Consider the following 16,074-nt stretch of genomic DNA (forward strand, 5'->3'; position numbering starts at 1 on the left):
CTTCCAGCTACAGAATATGTCCTGAGCACACAAACTGTCCCCCAGGCCCTTTTTAGGAACAGTCTGACAAAGTCAGTCTCCTAGGAGGAGCAGGTGACTTCGAGAAAATAGGAGACAGGCCAGGTGCAGTGGTTCACACCTGCAATCCCAACACTTTGGGAGGCCAAGGTGAGAGGATCACTTGAGGTCAAGAGTTTGAGACCAGCCTAGGAAACAGCGAGACCCTGCCTCTACAAAAAATTTAAAAATTAGCCAGGTGTGGTGGCACATGCCTATAATCCTGGCTACTCAGGAGGCTGAGGTGGGAAGACTGCTTGAATCCAGGAGTTCGAGGCTGCAGTGAGCCGTGATCATACCACTGTACTCCAGCCTGAGTGACAGAACAAGATTCTGTCTTTAACAAAAAAAAAAAAAAAGAAGAAGAAGAAGAAAACAGGAGCCCGAAAGCCTGGGTTCTGGTCCCATTCACCTTATATTTGCCTGTAAGACCTTCGGCCAGTCACAGCCACAGTTAAATCTAGTCCGGCAGAGGCCTCAGCCACCTCTGCCATGCCATCCTGGGCACCCTGCCTACAATGTGTCATCCCCTCCCTCCCAGCATCACAGATGGAGACAGAGTGGGGAGACTGAGGCCAGCTCAGGGGTGGTAGTGGAGGGTGTTTAGGATAAATGCTGCTGTCTGTTTCAGAGGCTGAGCATTGACACGAATGCTTTTTTTCCCTAAAGGCCTCATCAAAGCCGAGGCAGGTGCACTGAACCATATGCCATTCTGTTTCAGCATGAAAACAGCCTTTTTTTCCTCATCATAAACGTAATCCACCCTCATTCTGCTCCGTAGCCTGCTTTCCCACTCAGTGTGTTTGTAGTCATCCATGATAATAAATGCAGGTCCTTCTCAGCGTTTTTTTGTGGCTACATAATGTTTCTATTGTGCTATAGACAATCAACACCCACCGCCAGTCTAGAGAAAGGTCCTGCTCTGGGAAAACTTCTCCAAAGGAGAGAAAAATAACGATTGAGTGTCCCCTCATGGCCAGTAGTAGAATTGCTTGGTGCCTGGCTCTGAATCTGACCAAAACCTTCCTGGGGTTCTAGGGATCCCCTTATCTTTGCACAGAAGAGTCCTTGGTGTCAGAACCTTGACCAAGGCCTGACGCTTTACTGCATTCGTAGGGCTGCGCTCTGGGCACAGCTTGCAGTGATTTCAGACCGGGGTGTGGGTGGGAGGAGCGGCCTCCCCTGAGAATAAGCCTTTGTAATGTGCCTGTGCGTTGTTTCTGAGTCTTGACTTGTTCTCTTAGCACCCCTGGCTCAGATGGGGTGATTTGATGTGGGGCTGGAGTTCTGGGCATGGGGACCCCTAAGGCGTAGGGCTTCAGGAATACAATTCCTGCCTCAGAGTCCCCAAAGCACCAAATTGTCTCATCTGGTGCCTTCCTTTCTTCGCTGTGGCACTCTGCTGGTTTGGGACAAGTATTGGGGTTGGAGGCTGAAGACCTGGGGTCTTTCACTTACTAGTTGGATGGTGTTGGGCAAGGCTAACAGTCAGGACCCCTCATGGATAAAACCGAGGCCGTGGTTTTGGGTGTGAGATCAGCACAGAGTCTTACTCCGCCTTTTCTAGAAGGGAAGTTTCAGATCAGCCCCACATCCAGCAGGAGGCCCCCTGGGCTCTGTTTTCATCAGGGGAAGGAAGAGCAGCCTGTCTGAGGCAAGGTGAGAAGCTGACCTAGAGGACCAGTGTCTGGGCCTGTGAAGGGCCTTGTGAGCCAGGCCGGGGACCAAGACTCCTGTCCCTTGTGGCTAAATGGCTCAATGAGACGGTGAAGTGACTTGACTTCTGAAGAGATTCCCGGGGCAGTTAAGAGAATGAACCAAAGGGAGGGACAGCTGGTGCTGGGGAGATTGCTCTGGAGGCTGAAGCAGAGATGTCAAAAGATCCAAGGTGACGGGACCCAGCAGTGCCTAGAGGGGGAAGAGGCCAGCCCCAGAGCCGTTTCTGAGGGAGCATCGATCAGGTCTCTGGCGAGACAAGAGGATGAGACAGGAGCAGCATTCACCCCTTCCACCCTCCCCACTGCCGGTCTCTTGCCCTGGTTTTCTGTTCTCATGCTTCCTGCACTATCAAAATTGACTCTGGAATAATTCTGATAGACGCATTCAAACTAAAATAGAGCTGACTGGTAGAGATTCAAACCTTTGCAGTTTAACAAGAACAAAGTCTTAGACTATGAAACTTGAAATCTTAAAGATGGAATCTGGGGCTCCCACCTGCTGGGTGTGTTAATATCTGGGCAGGCAGCAGTGGCCTGAAACTGTGTGGGTCCCAGTGTCCTCTTTTCCCATGATTTAGGCAACACGACCTGATTTTGTACCAGGCAGAGATGTAGAGGAATGTGGAAGCTTTCTGGCGTCCTACTGTCTACCCTCAGTCTGATTTCTTCCCAGCCCTAGAGCCGGGACCGGGACCCTGAGGTCTCCTTGATGCTCCCGTCTGACATGGCACCTGCTGACACTCCCTCGCCTTCCCACTGTCTCCCTCCAGGCAGACCTCAACACCAACATCGAGGATGAAGGCAGCTCCTTCTATGGGGTCTCCAGCCAGTATGAGAGCCCCGAGAACATGATCATCACCTGCTCCACGAAGGTCTGCTCTTTCGGCAAGCAGGTGGTGGAGAAAGTTGAGGTAGGAGGCCACCCTGGCGGGTGAGGGCCGGTGGCAGTGGTCTGTGTTTGCTGGGCATGGCTTCCATTTGCTTTCAGGAGGAATGCCCTCCGTTAGGGAGCCAGGATAATCCCTTGTTGCCTTCCCTGTCTGCTGTCAGTGCTGTGTGCCTCCCACACTCCCCTTGGCACCAGTGTCCTGCCCAGCTAACCAGAGCCATTGCTGCCCTTTCAGGATCTTCCAAGCACGTCCTTGCAGGCACCCCCGGTCCTCTCCAAGAGCAGAGCCGCAGCACAGGCAGAGCCCTGGGCATCTACCTAGTCCAGCCCTCTGGCTTCACAGTGGAGGCCCAGAGAGAGCGGAGGCCTCCCACCAATCGCCCGCACATGGTCACACAGCTCATTAGTGCAGAAGCAGGGCTAAGATCTCTGTCCCCTGCTCACTTTGAACTCCATGAATGCCTAAAACTGTTCCTTCCCTGATTTTCTGCTTATGGGTACCCTGGAGACCCTGCTCTAATGGAAGTTACAGAAAATTCAGGCCTGCCTTTTATGGTTTCTCCCACTCTGCTAAACCCCCGGCCAAGGGCAGTGCAGGGCAGTGGTGAGGAGCATAAGCGCAGGTGAATCCCCACCCAGGCACCCTGCTTTCCGGTGCGTGTCTGGGGGGTTGTGATAAAATCCTCTGTATTTTGGCCCTAAACAAGGGCCAAGTTATCTTCACTGTCCGTGACACGGTCTCCTGCAGCACCCTGTGTTCTGGGCCCGCTGCGTAGTGGCAGTGACAAGGAGCTGGGACTGAAGGCCTCCAACCCAAAGCACCTGTGGACTCTGAGAGTCCGGGGCCCTGTGCCGCCCACACACTTGTTAAACCTCCTCACCGTGCAGGCCAGTCTTCGTCCCTCTCCTCACCCCTTCCCCAGATTGGTCTGAATTAATGAAGTCCTACTCTCACAGTCTGTCAGTTATTGATAGCCTTCCTCATGCCAAATGCAGCCAGATGCCCGGCCAGCACCAGGGAGGAGACATTACTCCACACAGTGCTTCTCCGCCTGGCTGCACCTTGCAGTCTCCTGGGAGCTTTGGAAACACACCAGTGCCTGAAACCCATTCATCACCCCTCAGTCTCTAGGGTAGAGTCCAGGCATTAGTGGTTTTTAAAAAGTTCCTCAAATTATTTATTTCTAATTAAACTTGTAAAACTTTTGAGATAATGGTGGATCCACTTGGGCTCATAATCCCATGTGCGCTTTACCCAGCTCTTGCCCTGGCCATATCTTGCATAACTAGAGTGTAAAGTGGACAACCAGGAAATTGACGTTGATGCAGTCCACCAAGCTGGTTCAGATTTCACCAGTTTTATCGGCACTCCTATGTGCGCTTGCATGCGTGTGTGTAGACAGGGAAATTTGCATGATCACCACCAGACTCCCAGGGGTCCCTGTGTGCCCCTCATGGTGTCCTCATGTACAGTCAGGATTGAGAGGCTCCTACCACTGCTCCTGTGTCTCCTTAAGCTCCCCTCCTGCCATCCCCGGTTCCTGCTGGCCACCCATGGAGAAAGGAGGTCTTGTTTAATGTCCACCAACCTAAGAGGGTGACTTTCTTTTTTTCTTTTTGTGAGACAGTCTCACTCTGTCGCCCAGGCTGGAATGCAGTGGTACGATCTCAGCTCACTGCAACCTCCGCCTCCCGGGTTCAAGCGATTCTCCTGCCTCAGCCTCCAGAGTAGCTGGGATTACAGGCACGCGCCACCGTGCCTGGCTAATTTTTGTATTTTAATAGTAACAAGGTTTCACCATGTTGGCCAGGCTGGTCTTGAACTCCTGACCTCAGGTGATCCGCCTGCCTTGGCCTCCCAAAGTGTTGGGATTACAGGTGTGAGCCACTGCCCCTGGCTGGGGGTGACTCTTTTCTTAAGGGCCCCCAGGCTTTCTGCCTTTCCTTCCCGTGGAGTTGGGTCTGGGCTGGAGGTGGTCAGAATGGGATTCTAAGCCCCTGCTCTCCCCGGGTCCTGCAGACAGAGTATGCTCGCTATGAGAATGGACACTACTCTTACCGCATCCACCGGTCCCCGCTCTGTGAGTACATGATCAACTTCATCCACAAGCTCAAGCACCTCCCTGAGAAGTACATGATGAACAGCGTGCTGGAGAACTTCACCATCCTGCAGGTGTGCGGCGGGTGCTGCGGGTGTGGCTGGAGTCTGTGTGTGGGTAGCAGCCATGGCATGCCCCTTCTGGGGCCTTATTAACCCTTGTCTTTTTCTCTCCCACAGGTGGTCACCAACAGAGACACACAGGAGACCTTGCTGTGCATTGCCTATGTCTTTGAGGTGTCAGCCAGTGAGCACGGGGCTCAGCACCACATCTACAGGCTGGTGAAAGAATGAGAGACTCGGGGAGCAGGGAGGGGGGAAGAGACGTGTGTGCAGGAAACGGGGACGTGGGGAGGGGACCTGCAGGGGCAGCCCCCTGAAGTGCCAAGAGAGCTGAGAGGAGCAGTTGTGACTCTACCCAGGAACAAACTGTGCCTGAACCTGAGGTGCCCAACCCCAAATAAACCCAAGATGCTGTGTATTTTCAGAGGACCTGGTCTGGCTGTGTGAGCCTCGGGAGGGACTGGGGGAGCAAGGGGGCCGTCTGGGAGGCAGGCCGGAAGCAGTGCTCAGAGACGTACCCCGGGCAGTTCTGAAGCCAGCGTCCCAATGGACTCAGCCAGGAACATCGCCGGACCCTGGAACTGAAGATGTGACAGTCCCTGTGCTACCTCTCAAGCCCCTGCACTGTGGTGCTGGCCACGCCGTGAGGCCCGATGAATGCATGGGCCACGCACCCACAGCCACGTGCGCCCCTGCTGCACTCCCAGGACGGTTCACACAGAGAGGCCCCATCCCCTGGGGGGTGGGTTTTAGGTGTGGCGGTGACAGTTGTTGGACGGGGACACTGTCAGAACTCTCTGGATAGTTTCCGTCCATCTCAATGGATGTGGATTCCATGACCATCTTCCGTGACCACGTTGGGGGCACTGGTTTCAAATCAAAGGACCCTGAAGCGGGGAGGGCAGGAGGCGGCAGGGCTGAGGCCGGCCTGAGGAGTCTCGGCGGGAGGTTGGGTGCACCAGTGTCCTCTTGGCTGTGGCCAGGAGGTTGATGAGAGGTCTCTGGTGCTCCGCTGGTCCCCGAGAGCCATTGGTGCTTGTGAGGCTTGTTCAAACTCTGTCCCAGCCAGGGTGCCTGTTAGGTGGAGGCCTCCTCAGAGCCAGCCTGCACCATCTAACTTCTTCCCTGAGGGGTAGTTTCTGTGCTCCCCGGGGGTGGAGGAGGGGAGTGGACCCCACCCTGAGCCTAGACTTAGATATGCAGCTGAAGGGGTTCCTGGGTTTATTTCTCCTGAGAACTGGCATGGGCTCTGAGTTTTGCCATTCCTGGCTTCGGTCCTAGCATTCTAAGCTGCCTGACCTTGGGCATTTGTCAACCTGTCTGAACCTTAGTATCCTTTCCTCTCTGTAGAGTGGGAAGAGATGGAGTCTGTGAAGCGCCTGGTGCAAGCTGTACTAATACACCTAACAATGAGCTCCTCCCTCCCTGCCTCCTTGCCTCCCTGCCTCCCTCCCTCCCATGGGGAGGCCAGAATCTGGCTGCTTGCTGCCACCTAGTGGCTCTTTGGGGTCATCTTCCCTCATAGGAACCACAGATCCAGTAGCCTAGAGCAGAAAGGGAAGGAAGATTCAACCTAGGGGTGTTTATGTTTACCGTGTGTCTGGCACTCGTGGAGATAGTGCATGGGACTACATAAGTAAGACAGCATCGAAGAGGTGTCTTGGAGTGTGGTTAGGAGCGAGGGCTCTGGAGTCAGACAAGCTACAGACTAGCTGAGTGACCTTGGGGCAAGTTATTTCATTTCACTGTGCCTCAGTTTCCCCATCTGTAAAATTTGTATAACGATAACCTACCTCGCGTATCTACAGTGCCTAGCATAGTGCCCCACATAAATGTGTTCACTAAATGTACGTCGTTATTAATCATAGGAGCTTGCAGTCTCACTAGGGCCGACTGGAAAACTATTAAGTGATCCTCAAAGCCACAGGCGCTCAGAGACTGGAGAGATCAAGGTGCAGAAGACTCAGGGAAGGGTAGTCTTGAGGGCAGCTGCCCTTAAAGGGTGGGCAGCATTTAGTGAAGCAGATGGAGGGAAGTTGACCGGCATCCCAGATGTGGGGAAGAGGCCAGCAGCCTAGTCTCCTCCACGGCCCAGCCCCCACTGTCTTACCAAAGAACAGCTTTAACCAAACCCCTCTGGGCATCAGGACCACCGCTACACCTCTTGCCAGGCTGCAGAGCTATGCAGTCTGGAGGCCCAGCTCTCGTCAGAAGCTGGGGCATGGGCTCTAGGGGAACCTGGGGTCGGATGAGCCCCTGAGCAGGTGGCAGGTGCCTACATGTCCCAGTGTGGGTTCGTGTTTGTGTAAGGCTCTCCTGCCCCCACCCCCAGGCACCAGCACAGCCTTTGCCTTCACTCTCTCCCCTCCCCTGTCCCTGGGGGATTGAATAAGGGAAGCTGGGGTTGGCCGTCCTTCTAGCTTGATTGGCAGCACCAGCGCTGTGACGGAAGGATGTGTTGTGCCAGCAGCCTCTTGGCCGCAGGACAAATGCACATTTAAAGAGATAACCTTTTTGTGTCCTGGCTGGGAAAGAGGTCAGTGCAGATGTTTTTGGGTCCAGGTGTTGGCTGTGAGTTTTCCTTTCCTCTATGAACTGACCTCAGCAGCCTAGTGGACAGTCACCTCCTTACAGGTGTAAAATCCAAGCCAGTCAACCATAGCAGGTGGCAGACTTAGCTGCCTTCCCTGTGGTGTGGTGCAGACCATGACCCTTGAGGCAAATGGGTGAGCTGGCCCCACCTCGCCTGCAGCCTCCTCTGAGGCTCCCCTGCTGCCTCCCCACTAGCCGCCCTGAATCACCTACTTCCCAGCACCCCCAGCCCGTGGTTCTCATCCCGTCTTCCATCTGTGATCTGGCACTCATTCTTCCAGAGCCAAAGAGGAATCCCCTCTTCTCATGCAGAAGACAGTCATGCCTGCCCTTGTGTGTCAAAAGCATTGCATTTATGCCCTGTTAGAACCCCTGTCACAAGCATGGTGCCTGAACACAGGTGCCTCTGTGGTCTCTTCTCATCCTCACCCAATGGGTACTATGCTAGCCCCATTTTACAGATGAGGCAAACGTGGCACGGAGAGCTCCACTAACTTGCCTGGATGATTCATGCATCCATCCATTCACTTAGCAAATACTTATTTAACTTCTGCTTTGTGCTAGCTAGTGGGGATGTGGCAGTGGGGATGTGGCAGTGGGGATGTGGCAGTGGGGATGTGGCAGTGGGAATGTGGCAGTGGGGATGTGGCAGTGAGGAAGACGACAGACAGGCTCCTTGGGAAGCAGAGTAAGCAAGTGAGGAGACAGGCGGGCGTGGTGAGGCTGCGCAGGCGCTGAGATCGAGTTGCTGGGGGAGGCCTCTCTGAGGTGGTGGGGCTTGAGTTGATTCTGAAGGACAAGAAGAGCCAGCCCTGGGGGTCTGGGGGAATGGTATTCCAAGTGGAGGGAACAGCAGGTGCTGGGGGCAGGGAGGTGACAGATGTGTCCCAGGTACAGAGAACAGAGTGAACAGGAGAGAGGAGGGGGCCAGGGCATTCCAGGTGGGGAAAGGCAGCAGGTGGCCCGGTGGTACCACCTCTTTTGGCGAGGGCTTTGGACCTTACCCGGTGTGATGGGAAGTCCTGGAAGTGTGTTAAGCAGGGGAGTCTTTTTGATCAGATTTTCTAGAAAACGACAGTGGGCTGCTGTGGACCTCAGAGAGGCATGTGTGATAGTGTGTTTCGGGCTCTTCCCACGAAACTCGGCTCTGCACAGTGAGACCTCATTTCCTGGTTCTGTTTGATGAGTGAGCGAATGCACATGGCAGGCGGTCATGTCCCTTGGGCCTGTGAGGTGAGGAAGGGTCCCTGAGCCCTGTGGGGATAGAGACTCTTCCACCATTCTGACATGATCCGAGTTAGCAGGCAGCACTGTCCAGATGGAAATGGGGATGGGAGACAGACCATCTCTCTCAGCGGGTCCAGCCATGAGCCAGCAGACTGTTTCCCATTGGCCCCCATCTTTCAGAGTGGGATGATCTTTCTAACAAAGAAACCCACACAGGAATTTGGTGTGTGTGTGCGTGTGTGTATTACCTTTCAGGATGGAAGCCGGTGGGGTGTGGAGCGAGGGGCTGGCATGGTTGGCCTCGCCCAGCTCCTGTACCCTGTGTGTGCCTAGAGCATGCACCTGCTCCCTCTGCTGGGCTGAGACTCAGAGGACACTGGGCAGGTGGTGGGGGGTAGGAGGGTCGTGGCTGTGTTGGGTGGGGCCACATCAGGTGTGTGGCACAGAGGGGGAGGGGGAGGGGGAGTGGCAGTGTGTTCCACCCAGCAGTCCCTGTGTTTGACCTCTTCGTACACTCTCTGTTGTATTAGCTCTCAGAATGAAAACGAGATACTTTTCCCCAATCTATGTACGTTGTTCTTAAGAATGTACACTTGGCCAGGTGCAGTGGCTCACGCCTGTAATCCCAGCACTTTGGGAGGCCAATGTGGGTGGATCACCTGAGGTCAGGAGTTCAAGACCAGCCTGGCCAACATGGCGAAACCCCATCTCTACTAAAAATACAAAAATCACCTGGGTGTGGTGGTGGGCACCTGTAATCCCAGCTACTAGGGAGACTGAGGCAGGAGAATTGCTTGAACCCAGGAGGTGGAGGTTGCAGTGAGCCGAGACCGCGCCACTGCACTCCAGCCTGGGCAACAAGAACGAAACTCTGTCTCCCAAAGAAAAAAAAAAAAAAAAAAGAACTTAAAGTTAAGCCAGGCCAGTGATTGAATTGACCTCTTACAAGTCATGTGATCTTGGACAGACACCCTCTAGGGAACTTCATAATCTCATTTGTGAAATGGGAATAAATGCTCCGACTTGGGACTGCCACTGGGAGGAGGACAGGTCATGGTGTGTGAAGGAGCAGGGCCACCCCTCGCTCACGGCGAGCTCAGGGAATGTGAAATGTGGGTGTGTAAAAATGTCCCCTGACTCCGCCCTTCCTGCCCCTAAAACACACGCACATGCACGCATACTTATTTTTAGAGAAAAAAAGCTCTAATGTCCCTCAAAGAAGGTGAGGAGAAGACCTTGAGTCTTGGTTTAGCGAAAACTGCCCCGTGCAAGGTTGTGCTTTTAGATTTTCGTCCTCATCTGGGTGTCAGGAAAGGGGAGGGAGTGTTCTAAATCGGGGAGATAACTTTGTGGCCCATTAAGGGGAGAAAGAGGTCCCAAGGGAAGGTCTAGAAAGGAAAGACAGACCGGGTGCTGTGGCTCACACCTGTAATCCCAGCACTTTGGGAGGCTGAGGCGGGAGGATCACTTGAGCCCAGCCTGGGCAACATGGCAAAACCCCATCTCTACAAAAAAATAGAAAAATTAGCAGGGCATGGTGGCGTGCTCTTGTAGTCCCAGTGACTTGGGAGGCTGAGGTGGGAGGATCGCTTGAGCACAGGAGGTCAGGAATGCAGTGAGCTGAGATTACATCATTGCACTCCAGCCTGGGCAACAGAGCAGGGCCCTATCTCAAAAAAAAAAAAAAAAAAAAAAAAAGGGGGGGAGGGCAGAGCAAATGGAGGACTAAAATACTCTAAGAAACTGTCAGGAAATCTGGCTTTCATTCAGCTTCCTGAGAAACAGCAGGGAGAGGTGGTCAGGTGCCTTCGTAGAAGGCGGGAGCCCCATTGGTAGAAGTGGCTGAGTCTTCTTCAGCTCATGGATGTCTAATACTCAACCTTCAGTTTTTTTTGTATTTTTGCTATGTAAAACCCCTTCATCTCTCCAAATCTTCAGTAAAGTCTGCTACATACACAAAGGCCTTTGTGTGCGTGATCTTTTTCTTGGAAATGACAGGTGCACACCTGTCCACAGAACACAGAGGTGGCAGCAGCAGGTCGCAGCCACCGAGGCCATCACAGCCTGAAGCAAGGCAGTGGAAGCGGGGACTCAGCCGTGCAAGCTGCCCAGCCTCCCACCCAACCCCCCCCCCACCCAGAGAATGAAAAGCACTCAGGGACGCCTCCCAGCCTGGGGTCAGGTTCAAGCCAGTATCCCTGGGCTCCCCAGGAACAAGTGTCTCCATGGCTATCTGGTTATCTCAGTCCTTTACTGTCCCCAAGCGAGGTTCCAGGAGGGAGTTCTGTCACCAGGTTCTGTGAGCACTGCACCTTTAGGAGCAACACTAAATGGACACAGGACCCCCTGGATTTGAAGAGTGGTCAAAGGGAGAGGTTCAGGCAGGGGCCGGCAAGATGTGATCCCTAGCTTGGCATCCTAGGAACTCGAGTCTAGCACTTGGCTCAGGAATAAGCAGGCTTACTAGCAGCCCACATGACTGACTTGCTAGCCAAAATCAGAGCAGCGTGATTGATAAGCCCAAGTGCCACTTCATTAATTCACACGGAACAGCACCGCTCCCAGCACATGGGAATGCTTGTATCTGCCTGTCAGCACATTCCTTCCTCCATGGAACACCAGATCACTTGCACACGGTAGCTTGTGCCAGTGCTTACGCACGGAGTTGCCCAACCTTAAAGGATTGCAGGCCATTGATGTTGAGGACCTGGTGCCCCTGCGTCCACTACAGGGACCTGAATTCTCCCATCCGAGAATCGAGAAATCCTTTTTTCTGGACATTGGTTAGCAATGACTTTTTGTTTGTTTTTTTAGAGATGGGATCTCACTATACTGCCTAGGCTGGTCTTGAGCTCCTGGCCTCAAGCAATCCTCCCACCTCAGCCTCCTGAGTAATTGGGATGACAGGCATGAGTCACCGTGCCCAACAACATTTTTTGCCACCACAAGTCCATTCTATCAGAGGTCCCCAACCCCTGGGCTGCAGGCCAGTACCCATCCGTGGCCTGTTAGGAACCAGGCCACATAGCAGGAGGTGAGCGGCAGGTGGGAGAGCAAGCATTACCGTCTGAGCTCTGCCTCCTGTCCAGCCGTGGCGTTGGATTCTCACAAGAGCACAAACCCTGCTGTGAACTGTGCATGCGAGGGATCTAGGTTGCGCTCTTCTTAAGAGAATCTATTGGCCAGGCGCGGTGGCTCACGCCTGTAATCCCAGCACTTTGGGAGGCCGAGGCGGGCAGATCACAAGGTCAGGAGATCTAGACCATCCTGGTTAACATGGTGAAACCCCGTCTCTACTACTAAAAATAGAAAAAAAAATAAGCCAGACGTGGTGGCGGGCACCTGTAGTCCCAGCTACTCTGGGCTGAGGCAGGAGAATGGCGTGAACCCGGGAGGCAGAGCTTGCAGTAAGCCAAGATCGCGCCACTGCACTCCAGCCTGGGCGACAGAGCGAAACTCTGTCTCAAAAAAAAAAAAAAAAAAGAATCTATTGCCTGATGATATGAGGTGGAACAGTTTCATCCCCAAACCATCCCACCTGCACTCCCCGCTCCATCCGTGGAAAAATTGTCTTAAATGAAACCAGTCCCTGGTGCCACAAAGGTTGGGGACTGCTGCATTACATCATGCAGAAAGCGACGATGCTGCTGAATAGGGTACAGTACGCAGCCAGCGGTCACTCCCCAAACACTACTGAGCACCTGAGAGTTGGCTGCTCGACTACACTCATTTTTAGTAGTTTAGGGTTCAGAGGGGGATCATTCCGAAGCCTCCTTTGTACCTGGAGCAGTTTCTCCCCGCTTCCTCTCCCCGTCTGGGCGGAGAGACAGGAGGCCTGCCGGTCGCATGCTCAGCACCTTCCTTTCAGACTGTAGGCTGGACCAGTGACCCAACACGACCCCTCACCTTTAGGGCTGGGAGGGTGGAGGAGGGTCTGCTTTAGACTGAGTTCTTTTTGGTTCAGGCTTGTGGGTTGTGCTGGGCATCACAGACAGGCTTACAATTTGAGACTGACGAAAGCAAGGAAGGAGAAAGGAACAGGAAAACACAAGTGGAAGGGATGTGGGAGGAGCCAGGCTGGGAGTCCCGTTATTGTCCCTGAGAGTTGTCCTTTCAGGCACTGCCAGCAGTGATGAGCGGGGTGAGGGTGGCTGGCGCGGCCCAGTGCTATTCTGCCACAGCCAACGGCTGCATTTCCTGAGCAAACGCTAGAAGCAAGTACAGTCCTAGGTGCTGGGGATACAGTGGGGCAGAATGCAGAGGTCTTCAATCTCCTGTGGCCTCCCTTCTAGCAGGGGACTTCCAAGAAACAAGCAACAAAAAAGGTAGGTAAACAAGAAAGCAGCAGGAGGTGATGTGTGCTTTGATGAAAATAAAACCAGATGATGTGTTGGAGTAGGGTTTGGCCAAGTCCAGCCCAGCGCCTGTTTTGTTTGTTTTTCTTAGAGACAGGGTCCCACTGTTGTTGCCCAGGCTGGTCTTGAAGTCCTGGCCTCAAGTGATGCTCCTGCCTCAGCCTCCCAAGTAGCTGGGGCTACTGGCCCACACCATCACATCTGGCTAAGAATGGTTTTTACATTTGTTTGTTTGGAGACAGGGTCTTGCTCTGTTGCCCAGACTGGAGTGCAATGGCACAATCACGGCTCACTGCAATCTCAACCTCCTGGGCTCAAGTGATCCTCCTGTCCCAGCCTCCCGAGTAGCTGGGACCACAGGACAGCGCCACCTTGCCAGCTAATTTTAAAATTTCTTGTAGAGGTGGGGTCTTGCTATGTTGCTCAGACTGGTCTCGAACTCATAGGCCCAAAGTGATCCTCCCACCTCAGCCTCCCAAAGCACTAGGATTACAAGTGTGAGCTACCATGCCCAGCAGGATTTTGTTTTAAAATGATTGAATAAAAATTGAAAGCAGAATAACATTTGTGACCCTGGAAAATGATATGGAATTCCAGTTTCAGTGTCCACAAATAGAGTTTTGTTTGTTTGTTTTGTGAGATAGGGTCTTGCTCTGTTGCCCAGGCTGGAATGCAGTGGTGCTATCTCAGCTCACTGCAGCCTCCACCTCCTGGGCTCAAGCAATTCTCCTGCCTCAGCCTCGAGAGTAGATAGGACCATAGGCACATGCCTGGCTAATTTTTGTATTTTTTGTAGAGACGAGTTTTTGCCATGTAGTCCAGGCTGGTCTCGAACTCCTGGACTCGAGTGATCTGCCCGCCTTGGCCTTCCAGAGTGCTGGGATTACAGGCGTGACCCACTGCGCCCGGCCATAAATAGAGTTGTATTGGAACATAGCCACAGTCCCTTGTTTACAGATCTTCTCTGGCTGCTTCTATGCCACAGTGGTAGAGCTGAGTGGTCGTGGCAGAGACCATATACAGCTCACAGCACCTGAAATATTTACTATCTGACCCTTCACAGAAAAAGTTTGCCCACTCCTGCATTAGGGGGTGGCTGGAATGGCTTTTTCAGAGTGGGTGGTCCTTGAAGGCCTCTCTGAGGCGATACAGCAGCCAGCCACGTGAAGACCTGGGGAAGGAGCCCAGGGCAAGTGTGTGGAGGCAGGAGAGCGCACATGTTCAGGTGGAGAAAGAGGGCTGGAGTGACGTCCTGGTCCTGCTCCACAGGGTGTATCTTTAATCATTTACTAGAGGAGAGTAGCGGTTTCGGGAGGTGGTTTTTTCTCCCGCTCCATCTGTTTCCTCCCAGTTGGCTTTCTCTTGGTTAGTTTGGGTCTTGGCCATTCATGGCAGAGCCCTTCCTCAGAAGCCCAGCAGTCCTAGTTGTTCAAACTTAAGACTGGGCGCTAAAAGCCAATGAGAGGCTCTGACTGTGCAGCAGGTGCTGGAGACTGGGTCGCGCTCTGTGACCATCTGACTGGGCTCTTATTTTAGGAAGTGAGTTTCTGTAGGGTATTTCCTCCTGGCCTGGTCAAATTCCATGGATGGGGTTTCTTCAATTGCTTGCTGGGGAGAGCATGTGGCCACCAGCATTCTGGGAACCAAGTGCTGGAATGTCTCAACCTGCAGTATGGAAACTTTCACTAATCCCCCTGTTTCATGCACTGTGTGCTCTCGCGTTCAGCTGTAGCTGGTGTCCCCCAGGGAGAGAACTCCCAGCTGCTGCCTGAGCTGTGCAGGGGAAGTCCCCCAACTGCACGGGGTTGAGGAGAGATTTGGGGAATCTATCTCTTCTTGAGCTCAATTTGGTCAATTCTTCTGTCTTTGGCCCCATCTCTACCTCTACTTCCAGAGATACCTGGTGCCACCAGTTCATGACTTTTGAAGGGTTTGGTGGTATGAGTCATGCTCCTTTGTGGCTTTCCCTGGTTTAGGATTCAGCTTCCTTCCCCTTCTCCTTTCCTTCCTTCCTTCCTTCTTTCCTTCCTTCCTTCCTTCCTTCCTTTTTTTAGAAGGAGTCTCGCTTTGTCACCCAGGCTAGAGGGCAGTGGCGTGATCTCGACTCACTGCAACCCCCACCTCCTAGGTTCAAGCAATTCTCCTGCCTCAGCCTCCCGAGTAGCTGGGATTACAGGCGTGTACCACCACGCTGGGCTGACTTCTGTATTTTTAGTAGAGACGAGGTTTCACCATATAGGCCAGGCTGGTCTCAAACTCCTGACCTCAAGTGATCCGCCCGCCTTGGCCTCCCAAAGTGCTAGGATTACAGGCATAAGCCACCATGCCCAGCCCCTTTCTTGCTTGTTTCCTTGCTTGCTTTCCTTCTTATTTCTTTCTCTTATTAATATTATTTTTTTGAGACAGGTTGGAGTACAGTGGCATGATCTCAGATCACTGCAAGCTCCACCTCCCCGGCTCAAGTGATCCTTCCATCTCATCCTCCAGAGTAGTTGGGACTACAGGTATCTGCCACCACACCTGGCTAATTTTTGCATTTTTTTGTAGAGATGGGTTTTCACCATGTTGCCAAGGCTGGTCTTGAAATCCTGGACTCAAGTAACCCACCCGTCTCAGCCTCCCAAAGTGTTGGGATTACAGGCATGAGCCACTGCACTCTGGCTTGGCTTTGCTCTTTCTTTCTCTTTCTTTCTTTCCTTCCTTCCTTTTCTTTCTTTCTTTCTTTCTCTTTCCTTCCTCCTTCCTTCCTTTCAGCCACCACACTCTGGCCTCCCTCCCTCCTTCCCTCCTTCCTCCCTCCATCCCTCCCTCTCTCCCTCCCTCCCCTTTCTTTCTTTCTTTTTCTTTCTTTCTTTTCTTTCTTTCCTTCCTTCCTTCCTTCTTTCTTTCTTTTTCTTTCTTTCTTTCTTCTTTTCTCTTTTCCCTTCTCTTTCTCTTTCTCTCTCTCTCTCTCCTTCCTTCCTTTCTTTGTTTCTGTCTGTCTGTCTTTCTTTCTTCTTTCTTTCTTTCTTCTTTCCCTCCTTCTCTCCCTCCCTTTCTCTCTCTCTCTCCCCCTTCCCCTCTCTTCCCCTCCTC

General features: G+C 53.0%; 1 protein-coding gene across 3 annotated transcripts in view; it reads left to right on the forward strand.

Annotated features, from left to right (window-relative positions):
• TEAD4 (TEA domain transcription factor 4) overlaps nt 1-5,254 on the forward strand; it is an 81,280-nt gene extending 76,026 nt beyond the window's left edge. For all 3 annotated transcript variants that reach the window (NM_003213.4, NM_201441.3, NM_201443.3), the window contains 3 exons: nt 2,546-2,686; nt 4,685-4,837; nt 4,943-5,254. In NM_003213.4, coding sequence (NP_003204.2) covers nt 2,546-2,686; nt 4,685-4,837; nt 4,943-5,056 — 408 coding nt within the window. In that variant the 3' untranslated portion in view covers nt 5,057-5,254. The remainder of the gene's footprint in view (nt 1-2,545; nt 2,687-4,684; nt 4,838-4,942) is intronic.

The sequence above is a fragment of the Homo sapiens genome, chromosome 12 (genome assembly GCF_000001405.40).
Source record: "Homo sapiens chromosome 12, GRCh38.p14 Primary Assembly".
Classification (NCBI taxonomy): Eukaryota; Metazoa; Chordata; class Mammalia; order Primates; family Hominidae; genus Homo; species Homo sapiens.